The sequence below is a fragment of the Homo sapiens genome, chromosome 6, assembly GCF_000001405.40.
Source record: "Homo sapiens chromosome 6, GRCh38.p14 Primary Assembly".
In the NCBI taxonomy this organism is placed as follows: domain Eukaryota; kingdom Metazoa; phylum Chordata; class Mammalia; order Primates; family Hominidae; genus Homo; species Homo sapiens.
Window position 1 is genome coordinate 47,653,992 of NC_000006.12, and position 13,045 is coordinate 47,667,036.

Genomic DNA, 13,045 nt, shown 5'->3' on the forward strand with positions numbered 1-13,045 from the left:
CAGGACAAGGCAGGCCACAGCCTTCGTGGAGATGATTGCAGAGGGGATGATTTGGATTCTAGCATTACAAAATCAGCAATAAGGCAGATGTATGCAAAAGGACCGGTACTCAGTTTCACGTAGGGCTGTGGAGGAGACTTAAGACAGCTAGGTTGAATCTGACTGAGTACAAGGAGTCAGCCAGGGAACAGAGGTGGCAAGGATGTCCCTTAGGCACAGGGCACACACGGCAGGCATGAAGGCTTGGAGGCTTGAAACAATGTGATGAAAGCCATCAGTACAGCATCACCAGAGGATGATGTGTGAGTCAGAGAGTGACCGGGGATGAGGCTGGAGCCATGGCTGGGAGCCCTGCTTCATTTGGTTTAGGCCAGTACAAGCATCTGCCTTTTCAAAAGTTGGGAGTCCCAGCTCTGGAAATAATAGCTGGGTTGGCTTCCTGATTTGTGCTGTGCGGGGCTGGGCTTGGATGATCTTCAAGAACACTTCCACTTTTTACATTCCTGATCTCTGGTAGATGCTCAATAAACCTTTACTGAACAAGTCTCTCCTGCTACCAAAACGTTGCTCATCAGTGTAAATCAGACGTGTCCTTTAAGGCCTGGTCTGTCCCTGTATTCTCCATGAAGTGACTCCTGACCAGGCCAGCCTCCATCAACTCCTCCATTGTTGGGAGTGACTGTGTCAGCTATTAGTAGAGAAGATCTTGTATGTTTTTCATATTTATGTGTTTTCTTCTTCCAACTAGAAGTGTGAACTCTGGGAGGTTAGGGGTCATATTTTATATAAATTGATATATCCACAGATGCATGGCACACTGGGCATTTTGTGTATAAATAATGACAATGCGACTGATTAGGACATGTTAGTGTAGACTCACCAGTTGTGACAAATGCATCACCTACCGCGAGATGTTGATAGTGGGGGAGGTTGTGTGTATGGGGGGGCAGGGATATTTTTGAAATCTCTGTACTTTTGCCTCAATTTTGCTGTAAACCTAAAACTACTCTAAAAAATAAAGCATATATATATATGTGTATATATATATGTATATATATGTGTGTATATATATGTGTATATATATATGTATATATATGTGTGTATATATATGTGTGTGTGTGTGTGTGTGTGTATGTGTATATATATATATATATATATATATATATATATATATAAATTTTTTTTGAGACAGGGTCTTACTCTGTCACCCTGGCTGGAGTCCAGTGGCACAATCTCCACTCACTGTAGCCTCAATCTCCTGGGCTCAAGTGAGCCTCCTATGTCAGCCTCCTGAGTGGCCAGGGCTACAGGTGTGCACCACCATGCCCAGCTAATTTTTTTTGTTTGTTTGTTTAAAGTAGAGACAAGGTCTCATTATGTTGCTCAGGCTAGTCTCGAACTCCTGGCCTCAAGCATTCCTGCCTCAGCCTCCCAAAGTACTGAGATTACAGGTGTGAGGCACTGTGGCCAACCTATATTTTTTAAAAGATAGAATTTTCCCATCTGAGGAGCAGACTTGAGTGGATTTCAAGAGGGTACTATTCAGCCCTCAAGGGGATTCACAGACCTAGAATTAGAGAAAAATAGCAGCACAGCACTCACAGCAGCTGGGAACTTTCCCATCCTTCCCTGGCCACTTCCTAGAAGATCAAGACTAGCTAAGGAAACAAAATGAGGAAGGGGGAATGCTGAGATTAAAATTAAGGGGTGCCTTTCAGTATATTAGGAGAACTTCGTGAAGATTTTGAAAAATGCCACACTCTAGATAAATATAGATATAGCTTTTCAAACATGGGATTGGGGAAGCTAAGAAGTTCATAAATACAAAAAAAAAGAGTTTTTGAGTGTTTCAAATTTAAAAAAAGATATGTCACTGACCATGTTGCTTTTTGAGAGTCTTTGTCCTTGTATAGGGTAGGTTATGCTGAGGTGACAAATAGCTCCCAAATCTCAGGGAGTAAGAATAGTAAGAAGTAATCCTTTCTTATGGTTGTCATGTGTTAGCAGGGACCTCTTCTTATCACGGTCACTCAGGGACCCAGTCTCATGGAGTAACTACTATTCTGAATTGCTGGCACCATGCAGAATTACTTAAATGCCCCACTGACCACAAGGAGGTGAGGAATCACAATGCTACCTTGTGTTTGCAACTGGAGACCGATAGGAATGATTAGGGAACCATACCACCATAATCCTAGTAACCAGAAAGCCAGCCAGCTAGTACCAGAGCCCCAAGCAGAGGCACTTGTGGTTTCCAAATTTCATCTTTAGGCTCAGGCTGATTTGTAAGAACAAATGAGCTACAGCCATGCATCACACATCCTGTGCTGCCACCACAGTCTTAAATCCCTTGCCCAAGACAGGAGCCTTTGCTTTTTGTGAGAGTCCGCGTCTGTCACCTGGTGTGACTCATCCATTCTCCAGTGCATTGCCCCTCCCACTGCAGGAGCTACTCCCATGCAGGACTTGTCTGTCAGGCTGCAGCACTCCTGCACATGGGGCTGACTGCCTATGGGAACCGCAGGGTCCAGCCTGGGGAGCTGCCATTCGGGGCTAACTTGACTCTCATCCATACAAGAGCCCAGCCTGTGATTTGTAGCAAGGTATGACAGAAGAGAGCCAGTAATGCCCATATCTCCAGCTGCCAGGGAGTGGGGCAAATTTGCCGGTGAGTTTGTCTTTGGCCAGCCACAGTGAGTAGTCCCAGGTCCTCCTTCTCCTTCCAGTGACTTCCTTTGGAGAGGAATTTCAGAGATGAGCAGCCACTCATGATTTTGTGTTTGTGAGGCTTTGGTAATTTGAGGTTTAATTAATAACATATGTAGTGAATAAGTGAATTTATACAGTGAATAAGGGAACATGTACAGTGAATAAGAAGGAATTTATTAACTTTAAGGCACTTTACGTAATAAGAGCACAAGTCTGTATAAAAATATTTTTGTTTTCATTTATTCTTCTCTGTTCTTCTGTGCTCCACTAATTTTATCCAAAGATCAGAATACAGGAAATGGGAACCTATAAATAACCTTTTTTTCTGATAATCTCCAAGGTACTAGGTGTAAATGCAGAAGTTAATGAACATTTTTATGATTATTTTCCCTCATCAGACCTTGTCATGTTTTATCTACAATTTTGGCTTATTATGAAGGCATCACTAGCCTCAAACCCTTCTTGAAACTGAGTAATATTTTTGTACTTTCTCAAAAAATCCTGCACCAACGACTAACCTATGGCAATGAAAACTCTTGGCCTTACACATTCTTCTTCTCAGATGATACTTTCTCAAGAGGAAGGCAGACTTTGGGGAGATTTCTCTGGGTTCTTAAGCTTGTCTCCATTGTGTCATTCTTTGTATTGTGGGGATGTAACTACAGTTCCATTGTTTTTTATACTATTCTTTAAAATAGTGTAATTGATGCTTCATTCCTTTCTTTTTTCTGATTCTTTGTCAGTATTTGTTGAATATGAATTTTAAAAGTTTAGTTTTGCTTAAAATTGTTTATCCTTTGAAATTTGACAAAATGTGTTTTTCCCTCTTAAAGTGAACTTACAGATAAAAGTGATGCTTGAATTTCTCCCACATTACTTTTGGTTTATTACGTTTCCTCTTTCAAAATTCATTCATAGTCCTATAGTTTCAAAAAATCCACTTATTGGTAGCTCAAATGCATAATTTCAAATATATTTCTGGGCAAGTGGTTAGCCTTAAAAGACTGCAAAACTTGTACTTTATGTCCTTAGAGATGGTATCCTAAAATAATATAGCCACAATTCTGTTCTAATAATATTTGCATAATATAGAGTTACAACATCATTGTCTTTTTTGAAAAATGAATAGAAACTTGTGAACAGAAATCAGACCTCTTATTCACAGATAATGAGATCAGGGGATTCAGTTACCAGGCCTGGTAACCGGTTGCTCTTTCTAAAATTGGACATGGGAGGACAGCACAGGGGTTGTCAGTGGAAGTCACCTGCCCTGGGTTCAGGCATTAACGGGGTGCAGTTCCTATAGAGAATAATATTTCTAAACATGTCTAAAAGATAATAGAACCAACTGAAAATCAGTCTTCTTTATCATCAGCATGTTCTGGTAATTCTAACCCATGTCAGTGACATGGGTTGGTGATATGGGCAGACCAGGCCCACAGCCACCTTCCCCTCCTTGTTACTGCTGTTGTGTGTGTGAGATTTGATTTAATTCACTAGTGGGAAACAGTCTACCTCAGGAGACAGTGGCTACTTCCAAAAAACCATAGTTTAGCAATGATCTATCAGTCCCATTATCTTGGGAATTGATGGCTTCCGGGTTTGTTATTTTTATATATTTCTTTTAACATAACAGCCATCTCTCAGGCTAGTAAAACCCCTGATTTTATTTTTATTTAGGGACGAGGCTATAGAACCTACTGCTTCTGCCTATTATTCCTGAATCTTTTGACTGCAATGAACAACTCCTGAGTCTTTTGACTGCAATGAACAACTCCTTAGCTAAAGCCCCAAAAGTGATTTTATTTTAGTAATACTCGGAGATCTCATAGAACACAGGGCATGAGACACAGGGGTCTGAATGGCCTCAGGACTCTCTTTATGATCTTTGCCCCTCTTGGTGCATCTGCTTCCTTTTGCTCTGTCCTTCTTTCTACAGTTAGGTCGTTCTCAATCACATATTAATATCACCTAGGGTTTTTTCTCAGTTCTGTATATGAATATCATCTGTGGAATTTAAAAGACCATTTATCCTAAATGTTAACAGCACAATGTAGGTGAAGGGATATTAAGTGTTCACTGTTCTATTCTTTCCATTTTTCAGTCGTAATTAAATTATTCAAGATAAAAAGTTTGGGGCAATGTATTAGTGTCTGAGCCTCAGCCCCAGAAATTCTGATTTAAATGGTTCTGAAGTGGGGCCCAGGCACTAGTATATTTTAAAAGCTCCTCTGGGAATCCCGATGTACGATTGAAGCTGGAAATCACTGCTATGGATTGCTGGGTTTTTCAGCTTCTCTTGACAAAGAGAGTGAGTCCCATCTCTTTCTTCTTGTCCAAATTTCAAAATTCCTGGGGTGAGGATGGATGGGTTCAGTTGGATCAACTGCCATCCCCTAATGCAGTCAGCTCTGACCAAGTACACTGTTCAGCTGGCTGCACACACAGGAAATGTGGATGGGTAAGCAGTTTCCAGACAGGGATGGGTGGGCTGAGGGGGTAGTTAGGAAAATAAATGTAATAATGATAATAGGAGTCCAGTGTATTCCTCTAACAGAAATGCAAAGTGAGTCCTGAACTGCTGAATTTGAGAACATCCAGCTGTTGATAAGACAAAGCCATTGCTTATTATGACCGCTGTTTTTTCAAATTATATCTATTTCAAAAGAATGGAATAACAGAGAATTGGTCTTTGTTAATCTGAAAGTTTTGGATCGCAAAATACAAATTAACATGTTTGATAACAAAAACAAAAATCTTATCCATATTAGAGTAGGAAGTTGTAAAAGTTGCTCTGCATTAGGTGATGCATATTAGCAAATACTATGAAGGTCACTGCTTGGCATAATGTTCTATTTGTAGCAGGTATACATTTTATCTCATAACACATCTGGCTTTTAAAATATCACATTTCCTCAAAGATTCTAAATCAGTTATAAATCAGTTAATAGAACGAGTCCTCCCTACTGCCCTTTGATTTCCTACAAATATTTTTGAGGAAATTCCATCTTGGCGTTGTGTTTGGAGAGGCTGTCTTCTGCCAAGGATCTAGGAAGAATTTGGAGAGTCTAAAGCAGTCTCAAGTCATCATTGCAGCTGGAAGAGAGTGGCACTATCCCTTCTGTGCAAGCTTGGGCACGGAGACATTTTATGATGGTCTTTAATGCCTTGGGTCTCAAAGGCATTTGAGTTCCATATATATTCAGTTCTCTTCACACGCTGAGTCACCCATGAATGTCTTCTCACTTCTACAGGCATTCCGTGGTACGGGAGCTGATACCTAGGGAGTTTATATAACCTCTTCCCTTTCTCAAACCAGGAGGAAAACTCTTCTTCCTTGCCCGAAATACCTATCTTTTTTCTAGTAATTGGAACACCTCTTAAGCCAGGTGTTTGTACAAGAACAAAAGCCTGGGTGGGAATTGAGTTCTGGGTACTTGGCAATTTCTTTGGTTGTGTATCACAAAAACCTGTGATAACCCTTTGAGGTAGAGAGCTCAGAACTTTAAAAAATGTTCAGAAAATATACCTCTTCACTGGCCCATTCTTCTATAGCAATGACACACACACACACACACACACACACACACACACACACACACACACACCCAATTTTAAGAGATTATCCAGATACTGATATCTGTGCCCAGGGCCATTTCCTGAGGACTGTGAATCGTGTGCTTTGGTGGGGTGGAACTGCTAAGGGAAGACAGGAGAAACATAATGCTGATGCCAAATGCCTAAGTCGTGACATGTTTTCAGCCGGTTCCGAAAAGAGAACTGGGCTTCCTGTAGCAAGAACTGGGCTTTGGGAGATGAAAAGGTTCTGTGAGTTCTGAAGCAATCAGAGCAAAGAGAGAGAGAAGGAAGAGCACAGAATGAGGGACGGGCAGTTTCCCATATCCCTGAGAAGTGGTGGAGACCAGACCTGACCCAGGCAGATAGTCTTTGGCCACTGAGAAAACAAAGAATCCATGTGATCTATGTGGAGCTGGCTACCAGAGAGGAGAGTGGGACACGGCTATTTCAGTGTGGGCGAAGCAGGGCTGAGTACTGATGCCCAAAAGCCAGCAATGATTGTACCTCTTGTCAGAAGCTACCACTGTGGAGGCTTCATCCATGGATGTCTTTCTCATGATACCAGAATATTATCCCAGGAGAAAAAGGAAGAGGAAAAGAAGGAGGAAATTCTGAATTGATCAGAAGAGATCTAGTTTAAACTGAAAGTCAATGTGTTACCTTGCATGGGTTATAATGCAAAAAAAAAAAAAAGAATAAATAAAACAAAAACAAAAACATTTGCATTCATGTTTCGCTAGTTTCATGGCCGCTAGACGCAGTCACAATCTGTGTGTACTTGTCATAAGTTTAGACTTTAAGTAAGGATTCTTAGTTGGTTTATTCAGATGGCCATGACTTCCTCCAAAATGCTGGCTGTGCCTCTGAAATGCTCTCTTTTTCCTGAGCCTCTGTGTCTCAGTTCTCCTTCATTGCTGTCCTTCTGGGATCTCATGCTGGAAAAACCATTTCAAAACTTCTTTGGTGCAAAACTTTCTTCCTGCTCAAGAAACAAATTGTAAACAAGTCACCCTTTGAATAGAAACACTGATACCTTGACCATTTATTCATTTGTTTAGCTATCCAGAATGAGAGTAAAATACGGTATTTTCAGACATACCAAGATTAAGAGAATTCTCAACCACAGATGTTCATTTAAAAAGTTTGAAAAGATATATTCTAGCAAGAAGTAAAGCAAATACAGAGAAAACAGATGTAATACTAGAAAGAATGTGAAAAGTAAGGAAACAAAGTAGGAAATGTGGCTCCAATATGGAGAACTGGTGGTTTTAGGGGTTAGATAGCCCCTTGTTTTCATATTGCTTTTTACTTTTGAACATCCATTTGGGGACACTTTTATCTCTTCATTTATGAAGTAATTAATCACAAATAATTATTCATAGTGCTCCTATATCTACTGAAAGAGAGAGAGAGAGAGCAACCCAAACATGGGCTGGAGCTAAAGTTCACAAATAATCTGAAACTCCAAATTGTAAAATAATTTTAAAAGATGACTGGTTGGGTGAGTATGCATATTTTAGTGTAATTATTTAAGCCATTGAGGCAAGAGGTCCACATATTTAGTGCCTCTACAGCCATGTGATCAGAGTAGAGATGCTACCTAAAATTTCTCACTTCAATATCCTGATTTTGTCAAAAAGAAAATAGTTATTACTCGTCAGTGAGCACAGTTATGATAGTTTATACTATGTAAACATTCAAATGTAAAGTTTTTAGAGCCATTGATAGGTCAGGAATCATTCTTTTGAGATGAACTGTTATAAGCTCTCCATAACAACTATTATACATACAACTGTTATACATACCAATATATACGAATATATATTTGCACATATTTTTAGAACTATTACGTATTTATGTTGGGCTTTCTCATTTCTGAGTCCTCACTCATGTGAATGACGTAGTGCTGGGTGTTTTTGCAGAAGTAGGAGGCATCATGGAGTAACGTGTCCTACAGTTGCAATAGCGACATGGTTTTTATAGAAAAAACAAGATGAAGGCTACTGAAATCTGAACAATAGTAGAAGTGCTTCAGGAAAATATTTGCATAATGAAAATACACAAATCTAAAAACAAATATTTCAGGCTAAATGCTACCTAAATATCAGCTTAACTCCCTTATTTCTCTTTGTTTCCAGACTTGCTCCTCCTTCTCTATTTCATCTTCTCATTAACGGCCTCAAAACAGTTTACTCGAAAAACATCAATGTCATCTCTTTTTGCTACCCTTTTCATATATGCGTTTCCCCTCAAAATTACTGTCTTTTTCTCCAAAGTTAATAACAGCCTCTGCTCTTCACTCCTCTCTCTTTCTCATTCGGGCATCGGATTCCATCATTTTTCTTCTTTGAATCCATCTCCCTGATATTGCCTCGGTTTGGGTCCTTGTTACTGTTCATCTGGACTAAGGAATGTCTTCTTCGCTGACGTCCCGGTTCTGGCCTCTGCCTTCTGACTTACCCACTGCACTGTTGGCAAAATAATCTTTCTAAAATGAAATCTGATTCTGTCATTAAAATGTTTCTGCTGGATTACCTCAAATCTTCACTTTATATTGATACTTTGCTTCTATTTGATGTCTCTTTCTTCAAGCTCCTAATTACTTATGAATTTCATGATAGTATTTTGATTTTTCAAGAGTTATCTTGATCTGTTATTTTATCTTTTCTTCTTTGAACTCATGTAATAAAAAAATGCTCATATTATCTTGTTCTGTATCTTAAACTAACTGTGAAGAATTTCCCTGCAAATGTGTATGCGTATGTGCATGTGTGTGATATTAACTTTTATGGTGGGTTTTTTGACTTAAGCTCTGCTGCTTTGTTTTTCTCCAAAACACTTCTCTATAATGTGTTAGCATTGTTGGGATGCATCTCCTTTTATATTGTTCGTGCTTAAATTACTCTGATACACAGAAGGTGACTTCTTTTTTTTTTTTTTTTTTTTTTTTGAGACGGAGTCTCGCTCTGTCGCCCAGGCTGGAGTGCAGTGGCGCGATCTAGGCTCACTGCAAACTCTGCCTCCAAGGTTCAAGCAATTCTTCTGCCTCAGCCTCCTGAATAGCTGGGACTACGGGCGCCCGCCATCACGCCCGGCTAATTTTTTGTATCTTTTTTTTTAGTAGAGACGGGGTTTCACCGTGTTAGCCAGGATGGTCTCGATCTCCTGACCTCGTGATCTGCGCACCTCGGCCTCCCAAAGTGCTGGGATTACAGATATGAACCATCGCGCCCGGCCCAGAAGATGACTTCTTGACTCCTCTCTCTCCGTATCTGACACTACTTCATTCTTTACCAGGGTAAGGTTTGAGGTCTGGGCATTTTGTGCTCTATCTCCTTTTCTGCAGTGTAAGGGGAGAGCAGGAGGAAGAGGCTCTCTGCAGCAGCACTGACACCTGGTATATTGGGCAAGCTCCCAGGAACAAATAGCATTCTCCATAGGGTTTTCCTGAAGAAGATTTAGCTGAAAATAAGAAACTGAAGAGAAGTTAATGAAGAGTTGTTTTTTTTTTTTTTTTTTTTTTACAGAGGTATTTTTTTTTTTTTACAGAGGAATTTTTTTTTTTTTTTTTTTTTTTTTTACAGGAAGGGCTAAAGGACTCAACAAGGCAAACAACAGGGAGCCGCAGGAGTGGAAAGCCATCATGATTCGTAGGCCTGAGGAGGCGGGAGGTCAGAGGAGGGAATTACTAGAGCCAGGTGCCAACTGAGGCTTAAGAGAGAATGCCTAACAGGAACTGCAGTCAGAGAAAAGCAGCCGCTGCTAGGAATGTGACCGTGCAGGGAGAGAAAATGAATACATCTCCTCATCTCTCTATCCTCCCACCGTCTCATCTCCTGCCAATGACTCCCATTGGAATAAGCCAATCGGAAGCCAGAGTCAAGACAATCTGCCGAGGCTAGCTTCCTGGGGCAGAGAGTAGGATGTGGAAGAACAGAGAATAACTCCAATGGGTGATGGGGGACAAATGGAGGGCAACCCACCCACCTAGGCTTAGCTCTCTGATACTGCGATTTTGTTAAATGCATGGTATCAGGACTTACTCCATTTTCGTGGGTTATATATGCCAGTGGCAGATGTCTTAAGGTTCTGAGTTGTTTCTTTGACTCTAGGTATGGCCCAGGAGTCTTCATTTCTACCAGAAAGAGGCAGTTTCACTGTTCCCTCTCCCCATTTCACAATGTATCCCTAACATCCAATTTTAAAATCCTCAGCTAGATGAGGAAAAACAAAATAATTGCTGTATTTTGCCTCTTTCTAGATTTCTAAGTATTAGTGACATTTCTAAAGATTTTGTCTACTCTATAGTTTGGTTAAAGGGAACAGAAAAGGAGAATAAACTTTAGGATCTGTGCTCTGCTGCTACACTCTACTCCATTTCAGGATTTCTGATTTCTTTTCTTTAATAGTTTTGGATTGCCCCTTTTCTCATTTTGTTACAACTAAAGTAATTTCAATATTTTGTTAGATGCTGAAAATGTTCTTTAATTCATTACCAGGTTGGTGAGAAATCCCACCAGTGTTTTTCTATGGATGAGCATCTGATAGACTGCTTTTCTTATTAATATTATAAAATAATATTATATAATATAATAAAATAATGTATGATATAATACTATCTCATACTAATATTATCAAAGCACTTCATAATGGTTTTTAATGTTTGCATAATATTCCTTTATATAGATTTATAAGTTTATTATCTACTATATTATTGTTTGACATCTATACTTTCCATATTCTTTTTTTTGCTACTCTGTATACAACTGCCATGAGCAGCCTTGTACGCTTTGCCTTTTTCTGTGCTTCCAGTTATTTCTGTATGACACAGTTCTAGTAGTGCTGCAAGTGCCGTAAAAGTTTGGCTTTACCTGGTTATTTAGAGTTCCTCACCCAGTTCTGTATATTTTCCTAGTTTCTTTATCCTGGCAGCCTCTGACAGTCAGATGAAATTCTCTCTTTGGCTTTTTGGTGAGTCACAACGTGGATGAGTCTCAGGCACACCTTCACCAGGTGCCTGACACAGCTGCCGTCTGCACATGCTCATCCCTATTTACTGTTTACATTTCAGATGTGAGTCATCATCTATTACCTGGCATCAATTGAAACCTGCATGCATAAAGGGGAAAGTGTCCAATGCAGAAGCTTTAGAGAAACTGGCCAATCCTCAGAGGAACCAATGAACATGAAAAAGTTTTTCTATTTTTTTTTTATTGTTATTATTATTATTTTTTTTCATACAGGGTCTCACTCTGTCTCCCAGGCTGGAGTGTAGTGGCACAATCTTGGCTCACTGAAACTTCCGCTTCCTGAGCTCAACTGATCCTCCAGCCTCAGCCACCTGAATAGCTGGGATTGCAGCATGAACCACCATGCCTGGCTATTTTTTGTATTTTTCATAGAGACAGGGTTTTGCCATGTTGTCCAGGCTAATCTCGATGTTGTCCAGGCTGATCTTGAACTCCTGAGCTCAAAGTGATCTACCCACCCCCACCTTCCAAAGTTCTGGGATTACAGGCATGAGCCACTGCACCCAGCCAATTTACAGTTTAAAAAACTGGGATTCTGGGGAAAACTGAGGGCTTCCCCAAACATATGAGTAGGTAGCTCTGTGAGTATGGTTTGGAATATAGAGAGTCAGCCTGGTTGTCAAAAATTTGGTCTACTGACCTGAGGTAGTGCCTATACTTCCTACTGCTGGAGAGGCTGCCTCTAGATAATCTCTTTTAAAATGTGCACTTGGGATAATGAAAACCACAACATCATTAATCTTCTCCTTCCTCCTTCCTTCTTTCTTCCTCCTCTTCCTCCTCCTCCTCTTCCTCCTCCTCTTCCTCCTCCTCCTCTTCCTCCTCCTCCTTCCCTCCTCCTCCTATTCCTCCTCTTCTTCTTCTTCTTGCTAGAGATGATGACCAGCACTTTGCATGTCCAATGAGGACAGACAGGAGTACCTGGAAAGTATGATAGAGTTCAAAGAGCCTTGGTCAGAAGTCAAAAGAGAACCTGGTTCTTCCAGTAACTTGAGGTGTGACCTTGAGAAAACCACTTAACATCTGAACCACAATTTCTTCTTTCATAAAAGAGGAAAAACTATACTTTCTATACCTACCTCACAAAACTATTATGATGTCAAGATGAAAGTTACACAAGCATAACCAATTTTACTGCACTTTGCTTTATTGCTATTCATAGATATTGCATTATTTTTATTTTTATTTTTTTACTAATTAAAGGTTTGTGGCAACCTTGCATTAAGCATGTCTACTGGTGTCATTTTTCCAACAGCATGGGCTCACTTAGTGTCTCTGTGTCACATTTAGGTAATTCTCATATTTCAAACTTTTTCATATTATGTCTGTTATGGTGATTTGTGAATAGTGATCTTTTATGTTACTATTATAATTGTTTTGGGGTGCCACAAACACCCATATTAGCTGATGAACTTAAGATCGTGTGTATTCTCCACCGACCAGCTATCTCTCACCCTATCCTGAGGCCTCCCTATTCCCCTGGGACACAACAATATTGAAATTAGGCCAACTAATAACAATCCCACCAGTTGGCTGGGTCCAAGTAGGAGAAACGCAATCTCAATTTTGGGCTGTGTCAAGAAATAAAAGTCACGATCCCACCTGATGCCTTCCTATAGGCTCGAGAGACATAATGCTTTCTGTGACCCTTGTCTATGTATGAGATTCACAGTCTTACCTGTTGATTGGGTCCAGATATCAGAGTCAACATCTCTCCTGTTGGCTGG

At 40.1% G+C, this 13,045-nt stretch overlaps 1 pseudogene across 2 annotated transcripts in view; it reads left to right on the forward strand.

Annotated features, from left to right (window-relative positions):
* The first annotated feature begins 2,480 nt into the window (after positions 1-2,480).
* The window catches only part of ADGRF2P (adhesion G protein-coupled receptor F2, pseudogene), a 41,323-nt pseudogene continuing 30,758 nt past the window's right edge, over positions 2,481-13,045 (forward strand). Inside the window, exons 1-2 of one of the 2 annotated variants that reach the window (NR_184444.1) lie at positions 2,481-2,668; positions 9,410-9,586. The product of NR_184444.1 is annotated as an adhesion G protein-coupled receptor F2, pseudogene, transcript variant 1 (transcript). The remainder of the gene's footprint in view (positions 2,669-9,409; positions 9,587-13,045) is intronic. The other variant, NR_184445.1, reaches the window with a different exon arrangement.